The 26,845-nt window shown below is 42.4% G+C and overlaps 1 protein-coding gene across 5 annotated transcripts in view, besides 5 other annotated features; it reads right to left on the bottom strand.

The window, feature by feature from the left end:
• LAMC2 (laminin subunit gamma 2) overlaps positions 1 to 25,169 on the bottom strand; it is a 72,705-nt gene extending 47,536 nt beyond the window's left edge. For all 5 annotated transcript variants that reach the window (XM_047420358.1, XM_047420361.1, NM_005562.3 and 2 more), the window contains exons 1-2: positions 25,002 to 25,169; positions 3,364 to 3,552 (exon numbers count right to left, since the gene is read on the bottom strand). In XM_047420358.1, coding sequence (XP_047276314.1) covers positions 3,364 to 3,552; positions 25,002 to 25,080 — 268 coding nt within the window. In that variant the 5' untranslated portion in view covers positions 25,081 to 25,169. The remainder of the gene's footprint in view (positions 1 to 3,363; positions 3,553 to 25,001) is intronic.
• Positions 1,605 to 1,734: an enhancer, noted in NCBI's record as "active region_2212". NCBI's record gives its function as "activates an Ori minimal core promoter by ATAC-STARR-seq in GM12878 lymphoblastoid cells {active_cell/tissue: GM12878}" and the evidence as "EXISTENCE:reporter gene assay evidence [ECO:0000049][PMID:35858748]".
• Positions 24,600 to 25,799: an enhancer, noted in NCBI's record as "MED14-independent group 3 enhancer chr1:183154769-183155968 (GRCh37/hg19 assembly coordinates)". NCBI's record gives its function as "activates an origin of replication core promoter dependent on BRD2, BRD4, P300/CBP and CDK7 cofactors, and independent of MED14, by STARR-seq in HCT116 cells {active_cell/tissue: HCT116}" and the evidence as "EXISTENCE:reporter gene assay evidence [ECO:0000049][PMID:35650434]".
• Positions 24,600 to 25,884: a biological region, named in NCBI's record as "MED14-independent group 3 enhancer GRCh37_chr1:183154769-183155968".
• Positions 25,126 to 25,195: a silencer, noted in NCBI's record as "silent region_1628". NCBI's record gives its function as "represses an Ori minimal core promoter by ATAC-STARR-seq in GM12878 lymphoblastoid cells {active_cell/tissue: GM12878}" and the evidence as "EXISTENCE:reporter gene assay evidence [ECO:0000049][PMID:35858748]".
• Positions 25,302 to 25,884: an enhancer, noted in NCBI's record as "H3K27ac-H3K4me1 hESC enhancer chr1:183154684-183155266 (GRCh37/hg19 assembly coordinates)". NCBI's record gives its function as "activates a minimal SCP1, AML or CMV promoter by ChIP-STARR-seq in naive H9 embryonic stem cells {active_cell/tissue: H9 hESC(naive)}" and the evidence as "EXISTENCE:reporter gene assay evidence [ECO:0000049][PMID:30033119]".

The following is a 26,845-nucleotide window of genomic DNA, read 5'->3' as shown; positions in this document are numbered from 1 at the left end:
TGCATTTAAAAACATGTTTTAAATAATTACTCAAATGTTATAGTCTGAATAATACACTGTAAGCATCAAAGATATGTAAAAAAATATAAAATTAAGAGAGTAAGTCCAATATCACATAGACCTCAAAAACTTAGCTGTCATGGGAGGAAAAAACTTGCACACGCAGTGAATTTCAAAGTATCTGCAAAAGGTTATCAGGGCTTAAATATGTGGTTGGAAGAGCTGAAGGTAACTCAGCCCTGTTGCTGAGCCCACAAAGTCATAATCTAAAAATAAGCCTAATTTCTGCATTTTTGGGAAATCGATATAAAGTCCAAAATTGGTGACTACTCTGGGGTTTATTAATGCCATTGGCTTCATTTGACATACATGTAATGATAGCATTTTTTTGTAAGACATGTTATTTTGCATTTGAAATGGAATATACAACAGATTTCCCTGTCAAGTTATTATCTGAAAGTGAAAAATATCCTCTGGCTAATTGGGATACTGAGAAATCACATAGGGAATTAAACTTGTGCTAGTGGTTTGGTGACATGTGCAGCTGAGGAGCAGCTGGGGACAGCACATGGTGGGAACAGTCTCTGTCACCAATGTGTCTTTCAGCCTCTGCAGTTTGGACCCTGAAAGTTCAGTTTCTTCATCTCTTTAACAGTGGATGTGTTAACACATTGTTGTCAGACTGTTATGAGGACTAAGAAGGACATCATCTATGATAATGTTTTGGAAAATTATAAAGCATTAGTCAGATCTTAGGAAATAATATCCATCAAGCTTTTTGTGTACACATAAATTGTCTGCTTTTGGGCATTGAAAAATGCCATTCTGATTTTTTTTTCTTTCATATGGAGGGAATAAGAGAATTATTCTTGATCAGAAGATCTGGCTTACAACTTTAGTTCTTGCAATCAGTTGCTGGAAGACTTTAGGCCATTCATTAATTTTTCTAGGTCTCAGTTTCCCCACTGTCTTAATAAGAAAAACAACTACATCAATTCACAATTTACTGAGTTGCCCGCCATGTGCTTGTCAAACACCATTTTATCTCCACAGGATCCCATGACATGAATATCATGAACACTCTTTAACAGATGGGGATGCTGGAGCAGCAAGAGGTTAAGGAACCTGCCCAGAGTGACCTAATGATGATGGTGGTTGTGTCCAGATTTGCACCCTGGCTGCCTGGCTCCATAACCCACCACTGTACTCTACATTATTACCTTTGATGTCAACAAACCTGGTCCTGAACTCTTACTCTGCCCCTTAGCTCTATGACCTTGGACAAGTTTCTTCCCCTCCCTCCCTAAGTCTCTGCTACATCATTTGTGAAATGGGAAAAAACATAGCCCCCTCTTTAGTTATTTGTGAAGATTAATTAATTACTGGATTAAAAGCACCTAGAAAAGTGCCTGGCCCAGGGTTGGCACATGGCACATGTTAACTATCATATAAGACATAAATCAATACTGGGCTCCACCACTTCCTGCCAAGCTGTTCCCACTGAGTCTGGGATATCTATTACCCAAATAAAAAGAAGGAGCCAGTTTCACTTGCCCTTACCACTGGGCAAGCAGTAGACTACATGCTGAAACAGAAGAGATGACATGGTAAATCCTTCTTTACCATCCTTCTGTGCTAGGCAGCAGGTTCCTGGTCTACCCTGAGACTAATAACCTTGTCTTCAGGCCAGGCTTTCAAGCTGAGCCAATTAAATTTCTAGTTTCATTCTCACTGATCATTTCACTGGGATGACCCAACTCTGGTGACTCACAATGAAGCTGCATGACCTAAGGCAATAGGAGCTCTTCAGAGAGGTTAAATGCCCATTAAAATGCAATAATTTGTCTTTTAATTTTTTTATGAAGTTCTTTGATTCATAGGGAGGACTGCTAAATCCAAAAGATTCTGGATGCAAATTCCACACAACAAAGCTAAACTAATCTGAGTCAAACCACATTGTGACAGCAACTTAGGTGAATTTGGGGGGTGACTGCTGCGATATGGGCCTATCTCACCACAGGGTCACCCAGTTTTCTATAAGACTCCCAAACCACTCTACCAGCAACTCATGGCTGCACCAGAATCTGCCCATTTTTAGATTCTTTCAAGCTGCAGCTATCAGTTGGTTCCACAGACCTACTACACTAAGTCATTGCCATGCAATAAGGCTGTATGCTTTAAGTGGATCAATATTTATCACAGGATGCTGTTAAACACTTTCTAGCAAAGAAAAGTAGATAATGCCAGAAAGATAATAGACAAATGAACCGTTTAAAAAAAAAATCTTATTTACAGAACCACCTCTCTCTCCCCCTTTATATTTACTAACTTGTCTTTACTGTCTGTCCACAATGAATACAGCACAGTGTATGTATCTGTGTGTACAGCAAAGACCTACAGTTATATGAATATAGCACTGTGTGGGATACTTTAAAAAAAAAAAAAAAAACAACTAGCCAGGCGCGGTGGCTCACACCTGTAGTCTTAGCACTTTGGGAGGCTGAGGCAAGTGGATCACGAGGTCAGGCACTCGAGACCAGCCTGGCCAACATAATGAAACCCCATCTCTACTAAAAATACAAAAAATTAGCTGGGCGTGGTGGTGGGTGCCTGTAATCCCAGCTACTCAGGAAGCTAAGGCAGGGGAATCGCTTGAACCTAGGAGGCGGAGGTTGCAGTGAGCCGAGATGGCACCACTGCACTCCAGTCTGGACAACAGTGTGAGACCCTGTCTCAAAAAAACAAAACAAAACAAAAAAACAAACTAGCTCTCCTATGAACCAGCCACCCCATTAGGTGTTTCCTATTTGTTATTTTGTTTTATCTTTTTAGCAACCTAATGAAAGACTTCAATTTTCCTGTTTACTTGTCTGTCTCCTTTATTAGTACAACTTCATATTGCTAGCACCTAGCACAGCACTAGAAACAGATCTTTCTAATTCCTTATTTTTCAAGAGGTTGGTCAAATGGATGGCTATGGATATGAAGAACTATCCCTGAAAGAGTGCAAGCTTCCTTTGTCATCTGCTTGCAAAAGACTGTCACCTGCCTGGAAAAGTTAATAATGTGACTCTTTGTATTAGAATTCAAGACAACATGCCCTCAAGGTCCCAACTGGTTCCACCAACCCCTACTTAAGAGAAACATGTTTCCTTTCAGATTGAAACTGCTAAAAAGACCAATGTCTGGTAGGTTCCCAGTTGTTGGTGAGGTTGAACATCTCCCTCTTGGCCTGCTTGCTTTCCCTGTTTTCTTTCTTTTTCCTCCGTTGTTCCCTTCCTTCTTCTTTTCCTCCTTCCTTCCTTCCCTCTTGTCTCCCCACTGCTCCATCTCCCTCTCCCTCTTTCCGTCCTTTTCAGCTACCTTTGGAGTTACAATTGCAGGGCAAACAGCGGTCCCTTTCTCTGTGCCGGTAAAAGCCATTCTTGCACTTCTCGCAGTGAATGCCATCAGTGTTGTCATTGCAGTTGAGGCAGCGGAATCCATTACCAGTTTGTCTGTGAAGTTCCCGATCAAAGATACACTGCCTGGACTTCCCATTGCAATCACAGACTGGGGAGGAAGCATACAAAAGAGATCGTCAAAAAAAAAAAAAAACACCTCAGGAACTGTTCTAGCAGGTGTTTATGTTATTATTGATAGAAATTATGCATGAGTACTATATGGTAACCTACACTCCTTGCGGGAGGAAGATATGGGAGTGCAATTGGCAGTGCAGGGACCCCGGGGACGCCTGCTCCACTTAAAGGAAGTAGGCACTATGCAATGCTGGTGGGCTGCTGTCTGGGAGAACATGGGCTCAGGGTTGCCAGACTGTCCAGTTCCTCGAGAGAAACCCAAAATGTTAAATTACATTTTTATGCGGATATTTCTGATTTAAATGTTTGCAAGGAGTTCATTTCAAAACACTGCAATCCCACAGAGCAAGTGTGTGGGCTCACGGAGACCTGAGGATGGGCAGCTGCGGACTCAGCACAGCTATTAGCCGATGGTGTCGCTGCTCAAGATACACAACACCCATCCCACCGGTGCCCGTCAAGGCAAAGGAGTGGACGTGACCGTCTGGGCACATGTCTCCTCCCAAAGCCAAGTGTCCCATGAAGAATGACCTTTCTCAAGTATCTAGGAAGCCCATCCTGCAGATGTTCCAAAGAGACTCGCAAAGTGACTAACATCTCCATAAGGACCCGAACAGCAAAGAAGCGAAACACGGAAACACCCAGCATAGTACCCGGCACACTGAGACACCAAAAAATGTTTCCGTCATGGTCTCGGAGAGAGAGATGATGGGCCTTCAGGTTAAAAGGAAAGAATCAAATACCAATTCTGCTATTTCCTTGGGCACATCACTTCAATTTTCTGAATCTTGTTTTTTCTTCCATACAGACTGCATTATCTGCCTCCCTGGATTGTAAAGAGGATCCCTCTGGGAAAAGAATATCAAATGCCTTTGCATATGCGATTTCATCACTCACTCCATGAAACACGTACTGCCTCAGAAGAGAAACATGCAGCTCGGAAAGGTGAAGTAACTCCACCCAGTGGAGAACTGAGATTTGAACCTCTGCCTGATGCGAACACCAACCTCCCTTCCCTACACAGGCTGTCTCTGTTGGCCATGCTGCCATATTGAGAATATGTTTCTAGGGCGTGACTTAACCATAGTGCTGACAATAAAGTCAACAGATGTGCCATCACCTGCTGAGTGGCTCCCTGTGCAGGCTCTGTGTCAGGCACTGACAATACAAGGGGACAATGTACATCTTTTTTTTTTTTTTTTTGAGACCAAGTCTTGCTCTGTCGCCCAGGCTGGAGTGTGGAGTGCAGTGGCATGATCTCAGCTCACTGAAACCTCTGCCTCCTGGGTTCAAGTGATTCTCCTGCCTCAGCCTCCCAAGTAGCTGGGATTATAGGTGCGCACCACCATGCCCAGCTAATTTTTATATTTTTGGTAGAGATGGGGTTTCGCCAGTGTTGGCTAGGCTGGTCTCAAACTCCTGACCTCAGGTGATCCGCCTGCCTCGGCCTCCCAAAGTGCTGGGATTACAGGCGTGAGCCACCGTGCCCAGCGGTGACCACGTACATCTAATGGACCTGCTAAGTGACTGCCTTACAGTAATTTCTATAACTCACTCTTTCTACTTTGGATGACATCTAATCTAGAAAAGTCAGCTAACACTTATCCAAAGCATACTGTTTCTAGGACTTTACATTCGACAGCTCAGTTAATTCTCACAACATTTTAACATGGGTTTTATTATCCCCATTTAATAGATGGAAAAACAAATACTCAGAGAGGCTAGGTATCTTGCCTAAAGTCACACAGCTAAATGGCAAAGATGTAATTTGCTCCCAGATGTGTCTGACTCCAAAGCCCTCATCTTTCCATTTTATGTTCCTTCTCAAGATTGAGTTTACCATTGCATGTAGACATTCTTTTTATAAATCCCTAATAGAGGGTCATTCAGCTTGGTTGTTACAAACAGTAACATTTTTATATGGTGTTTTAAATCTACCTCTCTTTCTGTAATTTTCATCATGTGTTTTTGCTCTTGCCTGAAAACATACACACACAACACACACAGATACATACAGCACTCAGGCACACACAGACACACACACACACACACCCCTACTCTCTTTTTATTCTTTTATTTATCCAACAGACATAATCTTTGGGTGTTGTTTTACATCCAAAGGGCCCTGCGTCATCAGGCTTTTGTGAATCTGAAGATAGCTATGGCATCTCCCTCCTTAGTCTTTTCCTGTTCAAGTTGGACTACAGATCTGTCATCTCCAAGTCTTTCAACCACTTCCTATGTCATAATTTCTAGATTCTTCTTGACTACCATCCTAGGAACAAATTCTAATTTCCAGTATCCTTCTTCATATGACCAGTACTGCAAGTGTGATTTAAACAGCTTGGCTTGTAACAGGACTAGATATTTTTATCCCATGGGCAAAGACTAACATTTCAGTGAACTTACAGCATATTACATTTGCACACAATTCAAAGTCCCAGGGCTTTTCTCAGAACTAGTGCCAAGCTGAATCTTTCCCAACCAATGCTTGTGAAACTGATTTTTTGGATCTCCAACAGATGTGCCACACAGCTGTCATGTGCTGTGAAATTTGTACCAAGTACATGACTATGCACGTACAAGAGCTAAATTCACTGTTCAGCAGTCCTTGCGAGGTTCTTCATCTGGCTAACCCAATGAGCCAATGCCCTCCCTGCCCTGGATGCCTTTTGGAAGCAATCTCAAAATAACTACAAATTTTTCATTGTGCCTTTCTTATTTAGAACATGGGCTGGGCACAGTGGTTCACGCCTGTAATCCCAGCAGTTTGGGAGGCCAAGGAGGGTGGATCACCTGACGTCAGGAGTTTGAGACCAGCCTGGCCAACATAGTGAAACCCCGTCTCTACTAAAAATACAAAAATTAGCTGGGAGTGGTGGCAGGTGCCTGTAATCCCAGCTACTTGGGAGGCTGAGGCAGGAGAATCACTTGAACCTGGGAGGAGGAGGTTGCAGTGAGCTGAGATTGTGCCATTGCACTCTACTGTGGGTGACAAGAGCAAAATTCTGTCTCAAAAAAGAAAAAAAAAAGAACATGCTTTGTGGTGGTAAAAATTAACTTCATAAGGGCAGCTCATTATATATTTATTCAGAGCAATCTTTTCAAAATATATAAACTTGTTATAATCTTTTTCTATCACATCCCTCTTCTGTCTCCTCCTCTAAAGCTCTACTTTGAAAATAATAGGTGTCCTTCTTTTATTTTAATTTTTATTTTTATTGAGACAGGATCTCACTCTGTTGTCCAGGCTGGAGTGCTGTGTCACAATCTCAGCTCACTGTAGCCTCAACCTCCTGGGCTCAAGCGATTCTCCAACCTCAGCCTCCCAAGTAGCTGGGAATAGAGGCGTGTGCCACCATGCCCAACTAATTTTTGTAGTGGTTTTTTTTTTTTTTTCTGTTTGTTTGTTTTTTGTTTTTGTAGAGACGGGGTTTCACCATGTTGCCCAGTCTGGTCGTAAACTCCTGGATTCAAGCAATCCGCCTACCTTGGCTTCTCAAAGTGCTGGGAATTACAGGTGTGCACCACCATACCCAGCCTATTTTCTTTTGTGTTATTTTTGAGACAGAGTCTCACTCTGTCACCCAGAGTGGAGTGCAGTGGTGTGATCACGGGTCACTGCAGCCTCAACCTCCCGGGCTCAAGCCATCTTCTCACTTCAGCCTCCCGAGTAGCTGGGACCACAGATGCATGCCACAACACTCAACTAAATGTGTTACTTTTTGGTAGAGACAGGTTCTCGTGGTATTGCCCAGGCTGGTCTTAAACTCCTGGCCTCAAGCAATCCTCCCACCTCAGCCTCCCAAAGTGCTGGAATTACAGGCATGAGCTACCATGCCTGCCCCATTGTCCTTTAAATGCACAGCCTTCAATGGAGTTGCATTACGGTTCCAGGGATGGAGGTCCTTAGCCAGCATCTCCCCTCCAGAGCCTGCCCAACAGATTCTAAGCCTATTGCAAACATACCCCTTTCCTTTCAAATGGGTCTCCCTTAAAGCCAAGGGCAATGCCATCTAGAGTGAGGGGATGTATGGGCCTCATGTCTGGGGAATGTATTGGCCTTGGGTATCTGCATTGCATGAGAACTCCGTGAAGACACTCTCTACAGCCTTGCCTGCAGGACTTTGAAGTTACCAAGCTGCACTGAGATTAAACACCCAGCTATATTGCACTTAACTCAGTATTGAGTCTTTGAAATGGTCCCACCAAGAAAATGATGGGAGAGCTTGTTCCAAGCTCCTTTTGCATGGAATGATGCTTTTCATCATTAATGTGTTTGAAAAATGGTCTCTCTCAAACCATCTCCCAAATTGAGACTAACTTCCCTAAAACCATTTATTACTTACTCTCGCTACTAGGGGTGAGGGGGGGCGGGGGGCAGGAAACAACTTTTCTATTTAAAATTCTAGAATATTCCTGCAACTGGGCTTAATAAAACGGTGTAATGTAGCTTGTATGTGGTCTTTATTCTGTGACCAATACCTGCCCAACTACTACCATGGTTTGGCAACTACCAGTTGCCAAAGGGCACTGCCAGGCTTAGAGTAAGGCAACAGGAAGTGGTGGGGATTCTGCCCAAAGGGCGTAAGAAGCAGCACTTCACCCCCTGCCAGTTGCAGCCACATGCAATTGATGCCTGTTGTAGTCAACATCAACTCTTCTTTTAAAAGAAGACAGAAATCCAGCTTTGTGTATGAAATCTATTGGTTTTAAAATTTTGGCCAAAATTAAAAAAATATATATTTTTGAAACAAAGCTGTGTCCACAGGCAAATCTCTGCACTCAACTTTGCAGTTCTAACAGGTAGAAAACACATCTCATGCTTTTGAAAAAGGAAAAAGGAAGCCCTATTATATCACACAGTGCCTGGTCCATGGTAGGCATTTAGTCTTTTTTTAACAAACAAATGAATGAATGAATGTTCTGTTGAACTTTAAAAAACCCATAGATGGTTGTCTTGGACCTTCCCTGAGTTCTAGGCAATGGGATGCATACAGTAGCAAACAAAACCAACAGATGTCCCAGCCCTCACGGAGTTTACATGCAATTTGGGGGGAAAGAAAATAAACAAGATAAATAAGTAATATCAAGAGAGAATATTAGGATAGTGGTATTTGTTAGGGAGAAATATATAAAGCAGTGGAAAGGCATAGGAAGTTGGGAAGTAGTAAGATGGGTGGGAAGGAGGGTAGAAAGTGCCATATGCCAGTTTGCTGTTTTAGTTCTATTTTCATAATTGTCTGCTTCATGATCTTTGTCCATTTATCTATGTTTTTCTTATGGCACAATGTTTTTCTTATGAATTGTTTACATAACAAATACATCAAACTATTTGTCTGTATCACTTTATTGCAGATTTTCTTTTACTCTTTCCTGATAAATCATCTTTATTTCCAAAGTACCTCATCGGTAGATTTTGTTTTGCTGATTTAAGCCCCCTTTCCCCCTTCCTTCTTTTATCCTTGGTCAATGAGATGTATATTTATTTTATTAATTTAATAAACATCACATCTAATAGGGAGGCTATACTGCATGCTTGAACAATCAGACTTTATGAGCCAGTAACATTTCAAAGAAGGAGTTTGCTAATTTTTTTGTGTGTGTGGTTTTCTTTGTTTTTTTTTTTTTGTTGTTGTTGTTGTTGCTGTTTTTCTTTTTTTGAGACAGTCTCATTCTGTCACCCAGGATGAAGTGCAGTGGTGTGATCTCAGCTCATTGCAACCTCCACCTCCCAGGTTCAAGCGATTCTCATGCCTCAGCCTCCCGAGCATCCAGGATTACAGGCATGTACCACCATACCCAGCTAATTTTAGTATTTTTTTTAAGTCAATAAATTTTTATTCAGGGAGTTCCATGTTGTGATTTCTTCCACTGTCCATCAAGGTCACCTTAGATCCTCTAGAGTGCTGGAGTCAAAAGATTTATCTTCAAGTTAGCCATTTTTAATGAAACTGATGCTTATTTTAATCCAGTTGCCTGTCAGCCCATAATTCTTTTATTTTGGCTTCTGTCATCTCCTTTTAATATGGATATGCTGATGAAGACTTCAAAATTCACCTTAGAGCTTTTATAATCTTCTGAAATACAATGGAATATTTTAGTATTTCTAGTAGAGACAGGGTTTCACCCTGTTGGCCAGGCTGTGAACTCCTGACCTCAAGTGATCCACCTGCCTCAGCCTCCCAAAGTGTTGGGATTACAGGCGTGAGCCACCGCACCCAGCCAAGGGGGTTGCTAATGTTTTATTTTTCCAAAGATATTTGCCTGTGTCAAGCATGTATCATATTATCCATGTTTTCCTACTTGAACAGGAATCAGTGCATGATCTGATGTATGCATCTAAAAAGAAGACTGGCTGTTATGGGGAAATGGAGTTAGGGAGGGTGGAAGCAGGGAGTGCCCCTGACAAAGGAAAGAGCAAGCCTAAAAGCCCAAGGTGGGAAAAAGCTCAGTATATTCTAGAGCTCATGCAAGGATTTGTGTGTTGGAACCCAGGTATGGGTTCGGGATCTGGCATTAAGATATTGCACATCATCGGAAAATAAAATTTAAAAAATCAGACTCAAACCCTGAACAGATCTGAAGCCATTCTAAGGTCAGTAAACAAAACAAGCAGGTTTCTCTCCATCTTTCACTGAACTCTGGTTCTAGGTCCCATCCATCATTCCTTTGACTATTCATTGGTACAAAGCCAGGGACACTTCTTCAAGGTTTCATCCTCTCCTCTTTCTGCCCCCTCACTCCAGCTCCCTCCAAATCCTTGATTCTGCCAGCCAGCATTCTCTCCACAGCCAAAGAAATGAGACTCTGCAAGTTTACCTCAAGTCCTACATAAACCCATCTGAAACGGAGTCATTTGAGTCAGATTTTCACAGATTTCTTTAAGTCTAGTAAAGCGTGCGTGGATGGTAATTGCGTCTGACTGCTGTATGCTACTTCTCTGGCACTGAAGCATTTATTATAATAATAACTATAATAGCACACAGTTGCTGACCCTCAAGGTGCTTCTTAGGAAAGACCGCCAGGCAGCCAGACACAGGCTGGACTGCCCACTACCACCCACACTCACCCAGAGACGCAGATCAAAGCAGCTGGAGCCCCTCCTTAAACAATAGAGTGAGGCGAGCAGGATCCCTCGGGCTCACTTCACAACACTCCCACCCCTCACTAAAACACGCAGCTCCAACAGGTTAGGACAGGAAGCAAAGGGGCAAAGGCGGTTTCCCAGCTGTGGCCTTAGGAGAATAAAAGGAAACAGAAAATATTTCCTCAGGTTGTACGCAGGACAAGGCCTTGAAATAATCATCATCAGTAGTAGCAGTTCATCGGGATCTCATTTTAAATTTCCCATAAGAAACAGTGCCCTTTTGAGGCATACAATTACGAGAAATTTCAATCACTTGGCATACATATGATTGTGTTTCTATAAGCAGGTCCTCTTTCTAATGTTCTTTTTTTTTTTGAAACAGAGTCTCGTTCTGTCGCCCAGGCTGGAGTGCAGTGGCGCGATCTTGGCTTGCTGCAACCTCTGCCTCCCAGGTTCAAGTGATTCTCCTGCCTCAGCCTCTCGAGTAGCTGGGATTACAGGCACCCACCACCATGCCCGGCTGATTTTGTATGTTTATTAGAGATAGGGTTTCACTATGTTGGCCAGGCTGGTCTTGAACTCCTGACCTCAGGTGATTTGCCTGCCTCGGCCTCCCAAAGTGCTGGGATTACAGGCCTGAGCCACCGCGCCCGGCCCTCTTTCTATTGTTCTAAACTGAAAAACATGCTCTGCTTTTCACTAAGGTGATCTAATCGCTGTCTTTGTATAATCTGTGAAATCATCATGCTTTTTAGTGCTTTAACGGTAATGACAAAATTAAAAATCCAAACTTCTTTCAAAACTCAGCAGATGTGGCCCCTGCCAACCTTTCCAACTTTACCTCATCAAGAGTTCACTGGGCTCCAATGCACAGATCTAGGCTGCACTAACCCTTTCCCACCTCTGGCTTTTAGGCTTGCTATTTCCTTTATCAGGAGCACTCCCTGCTTCCACCCTCCCTAAATCTATTTCCAGGTAACAGCCAGTCTTCTTTTTAGGTGCATAAATCAGATTGTGCACTTCCTTGCGGATACCTTCTGGCAGCTTCTCTCTCCCGTGAAAGCCCAGAGCACTTCATCCTCACCTCTCTCAGCATTTGCCTCGTTCTATCCTGTGTCATCACTGTTTATGTCTATGACTTACTTCTTCTACAGCATTTCTCACCTTATATCCCCACTGTACCTAATGCAGTGCTTGGATGGATGGATGGATGGAAAGATGGTGGATAGCATGATGGATAGAAGGAGAGAGAAAGGAATTGAGGGAGGGAATGAGGGAGGGAAGGAAGGAAGAAAGAGAGGGAGGGAGGAAGGAAGGAAAGAAGGAAGGAAGGAAGGAAGGAGAAAGGAAGGAAGGAATATAGGCAGTCTGACTCTAAGAAAAGTCTGTAATCCCAGCACTTTGGGAGGCCGAGGTGGGTGGATCACGAGATTAAGAGATCAAGACCATCCTGGCCAACATAGTGAAACCCCATCTCTACTAAAAATACAAAAATTAGCTGGGTGTGGTGGTGCAAGCCTGTAGTCCCAGCTACTTGGGAGGCTGAGGCAGGAGAATCCTTTAACCTGGGAGGCGGAGGTTGCAGTGAGCCAAGATGGTGCCACTGCACTCCAGCCTAGGTGACAGTACGAGACTCTGTCTCAAAAAAAAAAAAAAAAAAAAAAAAAGAAAAGCCAACAAGAACCTGAACATACAGAAATCTCCCTGACGTCCAGAAGCCTACTTTCAAATTTCCCCAATACATTACACAAAGTTTCCATTGTCTACATATATGACATTCAGTGTAAAAAAACTAATGTTCCAAGCAAAAAAATCCATGGTGAGATGGGAACAGAAAGAATTGTGAGAGGAACATGAGATTTTCAATGAGATTAAGGGTCTGGGACTTTCAGGTTGCTGCTCATACCAGATGAACTATTTCCACCCTAGGACTGCCCACCCATCTGTGGTCTATGACCCCAGAGCTGCAATGCTTTCTGCCTGCCACCTCAACGGGCAGCGAGCCTAGGGCTGTGTGGGAGGAGGGCAAGGCGATGAGGCAGGCCTCAGAGCATGAGATCAGTTTGCAGTGCTCAGGCAGCCTTGATAGGTAGTGTACTTGGCGGCTGTGTGGGACGGTGTCAGGAGCTAGGAATTTGAGCATCATGTTTAAACCTGACAGTGTGTGCTGGTTGCTATTACGTAGTGCTTTGTTGCTGTTGCTACCATTTCGGTTGCTTAGTGCACTAAAACTGATTCAGTGAAACAGCAGCAAGTTTATATGATGTGACCTGTAATCTCCCGTGAATTAGTCGAACTATGAACCATTTAAAGATAATGCTCAGCCCGGCACGGTGGCTCACGCCTATAATCCCAGCACTTTGGGAGGCCAAGGCGGGCAGATCATGAGGTCAGGAGGTCAAGACCATCATGGCCAACATGGTGAAACCCTGTCTCTACTAAAATACACAAAAAAATTAGCCGGGTGTGGTGGCAGGCACCTGTAGTTCCAGCTACTGGGGTGGCTGAGGCAGGGGAATCACTTGAACGCAGGAGGTGGAGGTTGCAGTAAGCCGAGATCACGAAACTGCACTCCAGCCTGGCGACAGAGTGAGACTCTGTCTCAATTAAAAAAAAAAAAAAAAGAAAGAAAAAAAAAAAGATGATGCTCAATTATCTTTCTTATTTAGAGGAAAGGGATGTGCCCTGTGTTTCCTTTCCTGCATGTGTCCCTCATTCTCTTTCTGAGACATCAAATCTTTTTCCCTCCTTCCTTTGTGCAACTCTCTTCCCTTGGATACAATGATGTCATACTGCCAGGTGTCTGTCTGCCTTCTGACCTTCCCTATTCAAGGCTTTGCTGGCTCCTTTCCTTACCCCTACTCTAAATGTCGGTGCTCCTCAGGGCTCCTTAATCTCCACAACGTCTCAGTCTGAGTCTCCCTTGGGTAATCTCATCCATGACAAGGACTTCAATAACCACCGTAATTGTTGACATCCGAAGATACTTCCTTGGCCCAAACTTCATCCTCAACTTCAGGTCCTCATGTCTGCCATCCACTTTATTTATTTACTTATTTACTTATTACTTTTACTTTTTTTTTTTTTTTGAGACGGAGTCTCGCTCTGTCGCCCAGACTGGAGTGCAGTAGCACGATCTCGGCTCACAGCAAGCTCCGCCTCCCAGGTTCACGCCATTCTCCTGCCTCAGCCTCCCAAGTAGCTGGGACTATAGGCGCCCGCCAGCACGCCCGGCTAATTTTTTGTATTTTTAGTAGAGACAGGGTTTCACCTTGTTTGCCAGGTTGGTCTCGAACTCCTGATCTCAAGTGATTTGCCCACCTCACCGTCCCAAAGTGTTGGGATTACAGGCACGAGTCACTGCGCCCAGCTCACTTTACATTTCCAATTGGTTATCTCAAAAGTTCTTTACACAAAACCTGTTTAAAACCAAACTTATGATTGCCATGCCTTCAAGTCGGAAAGCTGGAAGCTATCCTTACAGGTTCTCCATCTTTCTCACCTGCCTATTTAACACTGAATTTTGTTGATATAACCCACTAAATATCTCAAATCCAATCAAGTCCATCTCCACTATAGCCATATCTAGACCAAACCTCAATCATCTCTTGCCTGCCATCACTTCTTAGCTGAATTCCCTGCAACTTCTTTTGCTTCCCTCCACTCAGCAATCAGAAAATCTTTCCAAAATACAAATTGTATCATGGCTTCTCTGCTTAATATTCTGTAGTTTCTTTCCTTTCCTTTGAAGTTAAGCACCAGAATTCCTCAATATTGCCTACAAGGACTATCATGGTCTTACCCTATCTACTTTTCCAGCCTAATTTCATATAACGCTCACCACTGGGACATCTTCATCTCTCTTCCATTCATTCACATACACTTCATTTTATGTCTTCATTTCCTCTGCTTCTTAAAATTCTTGCTTTATAAAAGAAAACCATCATGGTGGGCAGACACAAATTGGGGCTGACAATCTCAACTAGTCTCCTATTTCATTTTTTCAAAGAAGTTACACTAAAAACTAAATCTTAATATACCTTATTGGATACCATTCCCTTCTTCTGAGTCAAAAGACTGCTCTCATGTAAACTGACAACTCTTTTATGTTCAAAGATAGCAACAGTTGCCTCCATGAAGTCACCTATAATGAGGTCTTTCAATGGGAAGTCCAAATGTAAAAGGCTATACTGAAGATGGTGAATAAAGTTTCAGTTGCATATACCCACTTTTAAAAATCTAGCAAAGGTTGTTCTCAGTACAAAAGCAATTATTGAAAGGGTCCTTTAAATAGAAATTTATCCTAATGTATTTTAAAAATTTTTATCAGCCAGGCACAGTGGCTCATGCCTGTAATCCCACCACTTTGGGAGGCTGAGGCCGGTGAATCACTTCAGATCAGGAGTTTGAGACCAGCCTTACCAACATGGTGAAACCGTGTCTCTACTAAAAATACAAAATTAGCTGGGCGTGGTGGCACACACCTATAATACCAGCTACTTGGGAGGCTAAGGCAGGAGAATCACTTGAACCCGGTAGGCAGAGGTTGCAGTGAGCTGAGATTGTGCCATTGCACTCCAGCCTGGGCAACAAGAGTGAAACTCCATCTCAAAAAAAAAAAATCATTTTTATCAAAAATAAATAATTATGACAAATATTCAAATTGCATATTATGTATGCAATCTAAAGCAAGATACTACCTGTCATTTATCAGTTTGATATCAAAGGCATCAGAAGCTATGATCCTCTTTGCAAAAATCCATGTCTTCAAGTCTGAGACATTCAAGATGAAAAGATGAATGTTTTTATTATATTATATTTACATGTGATGATGAAAATGCTTATAAGGACTTTTCTAGTTTTAAAACCTCCTACATGGAATTTTTCTTTCCAAGTTTTAATATGTTTGTCGGCTTAAGCAGATATTTTAAAACAAAATCTGAATCCTTCATCATTTAAACTGGCCTTGAACTTCATTGTTTAATGTGTGAATATCTGCTTCTAGTTTTATCTTCTTAAAGAATGTCACAATATGTTCCCTAATTAGAATAAGAAAACTGAAATGGTACTTCTCTCACTAAGGCTTTTAGCTGAATTTAGGCTTCTTTTGCAAATTTTTCATAGCCACATTTTAAGCCACCACAGCCAGAAAACTGATACCATATCCTGCCTGATCCATTTGTTTCATTTAAATAAAGGGCACGGCACCAGTTGACATTTAAATGTCCAAGCAATGTGAGTAAGGCTGAGGCAGGAAGTGCTAGGATGAGAGGAATGACAGAGCTCAGTTCTCTAATCTCACAGGCAATTTTGAATCATAAAGTATGGGTCAGTTTTTTCAACTCTGAATACTCCAAAGTCATCAAGAGTCAGTGAAACTCAGATCACTGCCATTTCCTTTTGAATGATTATGGCTTCAGAGGAGACACCTGTTTCACCGAGAGTTCATAGTACATTATATCACAGCCTAGACTTGGGAATGTACCCGTGTGAACTGTAGATGACTCAGCCTGGTGAGGACTCCATCAGGAGTTCACACCTGGAGATGTCTTCCCCTGACACTCCACTGGGACACCAGTGCCCAGGCAGACAATGAGGAGGGGGAAGAAAGTCCCAGTGAACAGGGAAACTGGGGACACCAAGTTTTGTCTGACTAGCAAAGGAGTGGAGGGTAAAGGTAAAACTGAGGGTTCAGTCTGAGTAAGCTCACAGGTGAAAGGGAAGGCAAACTGAGGACATTAGAGTTATAGCTGGCACTGTCAAAGGCTCTACCGCAAGACAGCTGCTGTCAGCTGCAGCATAGACTCAGGAAGTGATTGTGGTAAGATTCTATATGACAGCAACCACCTCCATGGAACTCCACACTCTTCTGACCACAGAAATAAAGGGTTATACATTTCTGTGAAGTTACCTACAAAGAAAAGCATTCCAGCATAGAAAGGACATTTAACTGTTATTCAAAGAGCATAGTGTTCTCTGGACATTTCTTGCATGGCCTAGAAAAAGGTATCCTATGCCCCTCTAAGAAGCAGTTGAAATAAAGGGAATCAGAGATTCCAGGGATGCCAGAGGTAAATACCTGAAGCAAAGAGGACCAAAAGGAAAGAAACCTTCTATGATGTGTCTGAATAAAGAGAAGTTAAAAAGGAGATTCTAATTTGTACTAAAATGCCTTTTGGAGATAATTGAAGTATAAACCATGATTTTTCAATTATTTAAATTTATGTTTCATTGATTCCTTAAAAAAAAACAATAAATCTTCCTTTTTAAATCCTTACTGCTTTTGTGAACAATACTTTTTTTGTACAAGGAGATTAGGCAAAGATTTTTTGCTATCACTACATCCCTTCACAAAAATACAAGCATTTAGGTATGTGTGTGGGCTTACATACCATTATATAGTTCTTAGTCTTCACAAAAGAACAATGGTAATTCATGTGCATTTGCAATGTTGGGAAAATATGCATGGCGTGCATTTATAGCATCTTACTTACAGATTTTTTTTTTTTTTTTTCAGAAAAAAGATGAATTAAAACTGTATTGCTGGCTGGGTATGGTGGCTCACATCTGTAATTCCAACACTTTGGGAGGCCAAGGTGGGCAGATCACGTGACATCAGGAGTTCGAGACCAGGCTGGCCAGCATGGCAAAACTCCATCTCTACTAAAAATATAAAAATTAGCTGGGCCTGGTGGCATGCGCCTGTAATCCCAGCTACTCAGGAGTCTGAGATGGGAGAAGCACTTGAACCCAGGAGCCAAGATTGCACCACTGCACTCCAGCCTGGGTGAGAGAGGGAGACTCCATCTCAAAAACAAAAACACTGTATTGCCTAAAGTCAGAAGAATGAATTAAATGAGCTCTTATGAGCCAAACTACCTTTACACATCCATAAAGAGAAGTAACAAACATTTTGAGAAGAGACTGGACCATGAAGACTACATCAGGGAGTATCTTGCATCTCAGTTGAACAAATATGCTGTTTCTCCACTACTACTTCCTATGCCAGGTCCACTGTGGCCTCTCCCCTGCTCCCTGCAGATCTCAGAATGTGAAGATCCCCTCCTACCATGGTACAACTGCCTGGATAGGGCAAGAGCAGCAGCTTCAGATTACTGTTGGATCAACTGCCTTCCCAAAGTAGGCCAGGCTATTTGGGATGAAAAACGATTTTTAAACACTAGGAATCCCCTACCAAAAAGTATCCTTTTACCAAGAGCAAAATGGGCCATGATTTGAAACAGCAGTAAGTATGTATAAAGCTTACATGGTCAACATTCTGGCCATGAAACAGACCTCTTTCTGAAAGACTCCAAAACTTACAAGGGTCTGTAGCAGGGAGACAGAAATAATCTCTGGACGTGATTACGTATATACAGATGCAAAATGTCAACAGTCATTAAAGAACAATGATTGCTAAAAGAGAAAGTCTTATCACAGTACTATCAACGATCCTAAACTGAGCCACTTGGTCAATTCCAAGCTGCATGATAACCTGACAACAGAGTGGAACAAAAGGAAGAGAAAACTTGGTAATTTGAAATCTGTTCTCTTGTTAATGCCCCACAAACTAGAGCTGTGCTTAGTTTTAACCTGTTGTTCTCTGATATTTTTAAAGGAAAGGCCAATATATTGAATCATATACACAAATGGAGACTTCTGAAAAGACGAGATAGATGTCTTCATTAGAAATACAGGTGGTATGTCAACAGTAGATAAAGGTTCCATCAAGCTTGAAGATTAGTTTCAATGAAAATTCAGGCTGGGCACAGTGGCTCATGCCTGTAATCCCAGCACTTTGGGAGGCCGAGGCGGGCAGATCACGAGGTCAGGAGACCTGAGACCATCGTGGCTAACACAGTGAAACCCCGTCTCTACTAAAAATACAAAAAATTAGTCAGGCATGGTGGTGCACCCCTAAAGTCCCAGCTACCCGGGAAGCTGACACAGGAGAATTGCTTGAAGCTGGGAGGCGGGGAGGTTGCAGGGAGCCAAGATCGTGCCACTGCACTCCAGCCTGGGTGACAGAACAAGACTCCATCTCAAAAAAAGAAAAATGAGAAATATGCCAAGGAGTTATCTCAGAAAAAGAACATTAAACTAGTAACTGAAATCTGGCCTTGGTCAAAGCAGTCACTCTTCTGTGCCTCAATTTTCCTACCTATAAAAGGATGAAACATGCTGGAGCCCAGCTCTGCTATGACCAACAGTAAGAAATTGGGCAGTTAATTTACCTCACTGGGTGTCATTTTTCTCATGCATAAAATGAGAGGCTCTTGTAGAGAACCCCTGAGGCCCACTCTCATTTTAGTTCTACGATACTGTAATAAGAGAAAAACATGGTGAAACATAAAATACTTTGTATGAAATGCCCCACATCAGTGCAGCTGAGCATTTGGATGATTTGTCCAAGTTTTAAGTTAGTTGTGGGAAATGATTTGGCTGCAATTTGATTCTTTTCTAATGCGGAGATACATATCCCCACAATAAATAAAAAGACGCGGTTAGAATTCTGTAAATATAAGCCCTGAATAAGTGCAGGATCCCTATACGTTTGGCCAATTGATCTCCACCCCTCACCTGATACAACAGAAGGGAAAGACTCAGGTTCTTCCATAGATCAGTGCTGGAGGAAGAACCATTCTCTTCTGTTTCCATGGTTGTGACATAAAGAAGCAGATGCTTTTTGGGGAATTACATATGCAGACATACAGTCACCCACAGACAGAAAAGACTTAGCCTTTGGCTTTGGACATGATTCAAACATTACATCACCTATCTGGGGATTATATTAAAACATAGCCCAGTAATGATTCAGTCACCTACTAGGTTTAATTTCTGACTAAATGAGAGTATTCCAGATTCTATGGAGCTCCTATTTCTACATTGATCTCTCTTTTTTTTTTGATATGGAATCTCATTCTGTTGCCCAGGCTGGAGTGCAGTGGCATGATCTTGGGTCACTGCAATCTCTGCCTCCCGGGTTCAAGCAGTCCCCCTGCCTCAGCCTCCTGAGTAGCTGGGATTATAGGCACATGCCACCATGCCCAGGTAATTTTTGTATGTTTTAGTAGAGACAGGGTTTCACCATGTTGACCAAGCTGGTCTTGAACTCTGGACCTCAGGTAATCCGCCCGCCTCGGCCTCCCAAAGTGCTGGGATTAAAGGCATGAGCCACCGCACCCAGCCCTCTACACTGATCTCTAATAGATGATTCAAGTCTTGCCCTTAGAAATTTCTCTAGGACAGAAAAAAAAAAAAAAAAAGTCAGTAAGTTTGAACCATTAAGAACTTAAGTGGGTTAAATGGGAAAGATATTCCCAGGATTCTCTCAACACCTTAACTTTATGCCCTGACTTTCCCATAAACACGAATCACAAATCAACAATCTTTCTCAGCTTCTTGGGCCAGTGAGGCTGAACCAGTGGCTGCCCCCAGTTTAGAACACCCAGAATTTAAGCCCATATGGGAATTTCCAGCCCACCTCCAACCCAATTCTATATCTCTGTACATGCTTGAATATAAGGTAGAGGTTTTAATTTTTCCAAAATTATCCCTCAGGAAAAAAAAGATCATACTTAAGTCCTTTCAAAATCTTGCATATTATAGGGTACTTTCTCAATTACTTTATTGTAAAAATATTGTTTGGGGAAGATACATTAAGCTAAAATGACCTCAATCAATGTATTGGAGACTTATCAGTAAGAAAGGGGCCCAGCTGTCTAAACAATTCTCATAATGGTGCATTTCTTCATAGTTGTGAGTGCTGAAAGGTGTTGCATATAAGCCTTTCAGAGTGATTATGCTGTGAAGATCACAATATACACTAAGGGATAATTTGTCTATCTTTTAAATGTTTTGAAAATGATGTACTTTCCAGTGACCACATCAAAAACAGATTCAAACAGTACTGTATCTCAAGTCATCTGGTGAGATGAATATAACTGAATATAATTTGAATATAATTACTTCATAAAATGTGAGTGAACAAATCAACACTTCTAAGTATAATATTTTATCAATTATGTGACTTTCAATATATCTGTGTAATTAATTTACTAAATTAAACATAAAGAGACATTTGACTACTACATCTGTATTGCTAAATGTTCTCATAATCAAGTTGTCCAAATCCTTTCTTTGAATGTGGGGGAAGTTCTTCCCATTGGGAAATGAGAGATGATCTTTGTAGGGTCATCTTATATTTGAGCATGTTTTGAGAAGCAATAGATTTGCTGAATCTGTGTGTGATGAGGTCTGGTGGATGAAAAAGGCAAGGAGAAGGAATGATACGAGATCCAGTCTTGAAACTGCAACCTGCTTTGGGTTCCTGTTTTGTTGGGTAAAACTTGGGGCTCATGTCTGCTTGAGCAGAAAGGCTCCTCAGCACCTTCTTGGGCTGACGAAAGGAGAGTAAAAAGGAGGCCCTTCAAAAATGTTACCACTTAAAACACAGAAAGCAATATACCAAATTCAGTACTGGCAGGGCAGTTAGTTGTAACAATAACAGTAATCTATTAACATGTATTAAGTGCTTACCAGGCAATGTGCAAAGTGATTTTTGTGTAATGGTCATATCGATTTATCATCCTTATTCTGAGATGTAGGAGCTAAGTAACAGGTGAGGTAGCTTGCCCAAGTCCCAAAATATAAATGTGCCACAATGGTACATGATAGGGCTGGGATTTGAACCCAGGCAGTCTTACTCCAGAGCCTGCACTTTTGTGTATGATGCTATACCACTTCAATGATTTAAATAACAGAATCTACGAGGGAGCATAAACATTTCCAAGGATCCTTCCTACTATCCACAGCATCTTTTTTCTAGCATCAGGGCATGGGAAAAACCAAATTAGTGATCTATGATAATCATGGATTCTGAATTCGCCGTTCTGGAAGAACAATTGCTTCAAAACTCACCTGACGGCTAAATCCAGCAGTGATAGTCCTCATTCTTTGTATATACACATTTGGATATCTGAACACCAGTTATTACTGCCATGTTGCTGACAGTCTTCCTTTGACTAACAAAACCCTCTTCTTCTTTGATTTTCCTCTATCCTCAGTGCTCATTCCTCCTGATTCTGCTCCATCGTTCCTCTATCTCTTTTTTAAGTGCTGAGGTTTCTTTTACCTCCATATCCTAGGCAATCTCGTCTGTGGTCAAGGCTTTGCTTTCTACCTCTGGGCCCCCAAATTTATATCTCAAATTTCCCTTCTAAACTAAAATAAAAAGAGAGGGTCTCGCTTTGTCACCCAGGCTGGAGTGCAGTGGTGCAATCTCAGCTCACTGTAGCCTCACCCTCACAGGCTCAAGTGATCCTCCTGCCTTAGCCTCCTAGAGGTGGGGTTTCTCCATGTTGCCCAGGCTGGTCTCGAACTCCTGGGCTCAAGTGATCCACCCACCTCAGCCTCCCAAAGTGCTGGGATTATAGGCATGAGTCACTGTGCCCAGACTGATCCTTCTTTTATAGTCCTCATCCTTTAATGGCATCACTGTCTAACCATGTACAAACCTAAAGCCTTGGATCCATCTTGGACTCTTCCTTATTTCTCTCAACTTTCCTATACTCATATCCCTAACACACAGACTTATTGGATCACCACATTCTTTAGATTTCACCTCCTAAATGTCCCTGTAATCTGTTTCCTCTTTGCTTTCATTACCATGATGAAAGTCTTCATCATCTCTCATTTGAATTACGGTAATCACCATTTATCTGGCTTCCCTAGCTCCACTTCATTCTCTAAGCCCTCGAGTGAGTGACCTTTCTAAAACATGAATCCAGTCACACTAATTCCTGCTTACAAATCATTCACAGCTCTTCTTTGCCTACAGGGCACCATCCTACTGAACAGCCTGGCACATAAAGCCCTTCACAAGCATATTGGTGGCTACGTTTCTAGTATCTTTCTTATCTCTTTCTCAATCCTTCTCCAGTCATACCTCCTGCTATGAACTAAGATCCAGACCACTGGGGCCACATGCCACTTTATCTCACACCAGGCAATCCTATCCTGAAGGGGAGCCTTGGTCTTTCTGATCTCTGGGCAAATGAATTCACTACACTGTACTGTTGGCTTTGGACTTTTTAAAGAAATGTGGTTCCAGGCATTTTAAGGCACTTTACAGTAATTGTTCATCCTTTCAAAAACTCTACAAGGTTGAAGTACTATTGCCTCCATTTTACAATGAAGAAGCAGACACCAAGTATTACTAATAAGGAACTAGTAAGTGAATGAACCAAAATGTAAAGCCAGGTCAGGCTGACTCTAAAGCCTGTGCTTTAGCTGAGCCCAACCCTGAAGTCTTGCCAATTTCATCTATTGCCATAATTTCTACTGCAAGGAAACAACCAGGAAGCAACATCACTGCTTTAGGTTCTCATATGTGCAGCCCACAGGACACTCAGACACGGTCACTTTGAGACATGGCAGATACCATATTTTCAGTCCAACTTCTAGCACATCCCAGCATCCCATGAATGAAAAAGCATGTGTGTTCTACCCTGGCAACAAACTTCACATTCCCATTGAATCCAAAAATGAAGGCCTCTGAGGAGGGAGAATAAAACCTTAGTCTGCCTCCAGGGAAGGGGAAAGTGGCAATGAGCCTCAGTGGTATTTCTGACTTCTTGGGGTAGATGGATGCCCAGAAGCTGGTATGTCTTTAAGAAGTGAGAATCCTAGCTCTGTCCTCTTAAGCCTGATTTTATTAAAATAGCATTGATAGCATCCTATATATTTATTTTTGTTCCCTAATGCTAACACACATATATGTACTCAACTATAGCCAACAAGAAAATTGCTTAAATGATTACTTATCATGTATAAAAGATGTATCTTATTCCTTTATTACTTTTATAATGTGGCTCAAAAAGCTCCAGCCTAAGAGCCCCTGGATCAAGAGCCAGTTTCATCTCTGCCTGTGTGGCCTTGAGAAACACATTTTCATTTTCTCATTTTTCAAATCAAGAGATTCCAAGTAGTTGATCCATAAGCAGTCCCTTTAAATTCTAATATTCAGAGACTATTTTTACTTTGGGGATGTCTTCCATTAGGCTGAGACTTCTTATCCCAGCCCTAAGAGAACATACCCTTCATGACCATTTTCAGAACCTTTTATTTATCACTTTTTAAAACTATATATATTTAAGGTATACAACATGATGTTTCGATATACACAGTAAAATAGTATTCTAGTCAGGCAAATTAATATGTTCATTATTTCACATACTTATCTCCACCTTTTTTTTTTTTTTGGTGGCAATCATACATGGTTTTGAAAATGGTAGTCAGAGATGATAGGTTGGAAGTTAATTCCAAGACTTTTTTAGACAAAAAGGACTGTAGCATTGCATTCAAACACATGCTCAAACATTATTCATGCCACTCAAATCCAATTCAGGCCAGCATCACCCGGAATGCACAATAATATTGGGAATGGCTTATACAATTGCATGTGCATGTGAGCATTATCTCATATTCATGCATGCACTTGTGTGGAAATGGCTCTTGGTCTTGGACCTATTGAAAGAATGATTGAAACGCCATCAGATGCAGGATGCAATATAAACATAAAACATCAGGGCAATTATACAGGCATATATCCATAGAACTAAGTGACAAGGAAAACACCCATAAAATGTTGCCATAGCTGACACATGCTTACAGTTAAGAGTTGCTAGGTTCTCACAAAGTTTTGTTTACATGAACTTAACGTCTAACACATGACAGCCAACTAGGTGCCCTAGATAAGATCAAATGATATATGACACAGGTGCCCAGTAAGTGCCTGTTGAATGAATATTACATGAAAATACTATGAAAAGTAACGTGATGCAAAAGTTAAGGGTATTGCTAATACTATTAAGGCTCATTTTTCCATCCGAAATTTGAAACATCAATTACAGGATTATTGAAGAGGTTCCTTTGCAATCTTTGTGGTGTTCACAGTCATGGGAAACATTGCCACCAAAACCTTTTAATAAAAGCACACGCTGGGGAAAGAACGTATATAACAACACATTATTGATTAAATAGCGGCCCCTTGGTCGAAAAAAGACATCAAGAAGGAACATTTTTAAGGTAAGGAAGACCCTCTTTTGTCACAGCTTATTGTCTTACTATTTTTAAAAAGCAGATAGCTTTATATATTAGTCTCATTTAAAATCCGTCTCTGGAGGAGCCCCAGATAGGGGAGGAGAAGGGAGCTCTAACAAGTTTCTGGACAAAGTGGGAATCCTCGGAGGTACGTTCAGCCATCACGGTCTGCAGAGAAAGGCAGATTCTCAGCCCAGGGCTGAGATGTTTCCTTGTGGAAGCCGACTCACCTTCCCTCCTGGAGGTGGCCCGGGCTGCGGGCAGGAGGAGCGAGAAGCAGAGGCAGCAGCCCAGCCAGAGCGCAGGCATGGCGGGGCCGGGCCGCTCAGTCTCTGTCTCCGCTGCAGGGGTCGCTGCCCGGCGCCTCGGTTGGTGGTTCTCACTCTGCGCTCCGCTGTGCCTTCCTTTTCCTTGATCAGGTGGTTTTATCGACTCTTCTACCTGACTCAGTCCTGACAGGAAGAGAGCCTGTGTTTCAGGGTGTGACTCACCTGTGAATAAGGAGGACCCAGCCCTCCAGAGGCAGACAAACACACAGAGCACAAACCGGGCTGGAAAATCGCTCCCCGCAGCCGCCCGCTCCCCCTCGCAGCGAGGAGGGCGCACACCTGGCCCGGGCCAAGGGTGTGGCACAGAGGCTGCGGCCCGGGAGCCTTTGCCTGGAATGTGCGAGATTCCCCGGAGCCCTCCTTCTCTCCCGGGGTGGTCCAGGGCAGATTCACAGAGGTAGACAGCAGCCCGCCCCTTCCTCAAACTGGGAGGCCCAATCTTAAGAGCGCTAACTCAGAAATAAGGCAGCAGCCCGAATCAGCTCCGGCTTAAAGGACATCAAGGAAGACAAGTCAGTCGGAGAGTCACAACAGGGTCCTCTCCACCCTCCAGTTTAGGGTCAACCTCTCCTTTCTCCAGGCTGAACCAAGGGTTTCTCTCCTGGTCCACATAACTTCCTGCTCACCAGGGTTAGCAACTCATAAAGTAACCTATTGACTGGCCAACCTCCCTATAAAGACTGAGTATCGTTTTCTTTTTGTTTGTTTTTTTGTTTGTTGGTTGGTTTTTGTTTTTGTTTTCAATGGCACCATCATAGCGCACTGCAGCCTCCAACCCCTGGGCTCAAGCAATCCTCCCACCTCAGCCTCTTGAGTAGCTAGGGCTACAGGCAAATGCCACCACACCCAGCTAATTTTTTAATTTTTTGTAGAGACGAGGTCTTGCTGTGTTGGGCAGGCTGACCTTGAATTCCTGGCCTCAAGTAATCCTCCTGCCTTGGCCTCCCAAAGTGCTGGGATTATAGGCATAAACACCATCCCTGGCCCACTTTATATTCCTAACTATAATAGTATCTAGCTTGCAGTTGGTGCTTAATAAATATTGGCTTGAAATGAATAAGAAAGAGGATCTAGATACCAAACTCTTTTACATCTTAGAGTGTATTTCTCAGCCACTCTCCATGGGCACTAGAGAAAATATTTGTTGAGACCAACTTTGAATGTTATCTACTAGCACAGTGCTAGCTGAAGTGAGTAATATCTAGACAACTGCAAATCTTGGTATAAACTATATTGTCTCTTCTCCTAAGGAGGCTAGTGACAATAATTCAGAGAGGTGGCTGTCAAGAAGGCTTTGGTTCCTGCTAGAGATTTAAAAATTGCTAGAGCTTTATAAATACACAATCTGTCCAAAACAACCAACCCTTCTTCTCAACATTGAGGCCTACAAAGGCCCCCAATAAATAGCTATTTGCTGACTAAATATATGAATATTCTCCAGATTGTTCTGTGGATGACAACAACATAAGATAATGAACAAATCATCCAGGGCAGACATAAGTGTCAAAGGTTCTAAAAACTTCGGTTCATGCATGTCATGGAGACCAGTGTGGGCTGACTGGGATAGCTAGGGATGGCTTTGTACAGAACGTGGAGTATGAACTGGGTGTTAGGAATAGCTGGGGTCTGAATACAGAACCCAAGAATGGTAGGGGCAAGACAGGTTGCTGCAAACTGGCTGACACCTATTCTAAAATCTCCAGCAATAAAACCTGAGGAATAGAAAAGAAACTCCAACTTTCTCA

Source organism: Homo sapiens, chromosome 1 (genome assembly GCF_000001405.40).
Source record: "Homo sapiens chromosome 1, GRCh38.p14 Primary Assembly".
Lineage (NCBI taxonomy): Eukaryota > Metazoa > Chordata > Mammalia > Primates > Hominidae > Homo > Homo sapiens.
This window is presented reverse-complemented; position numbering and strand designations above follow the sequence as displayed.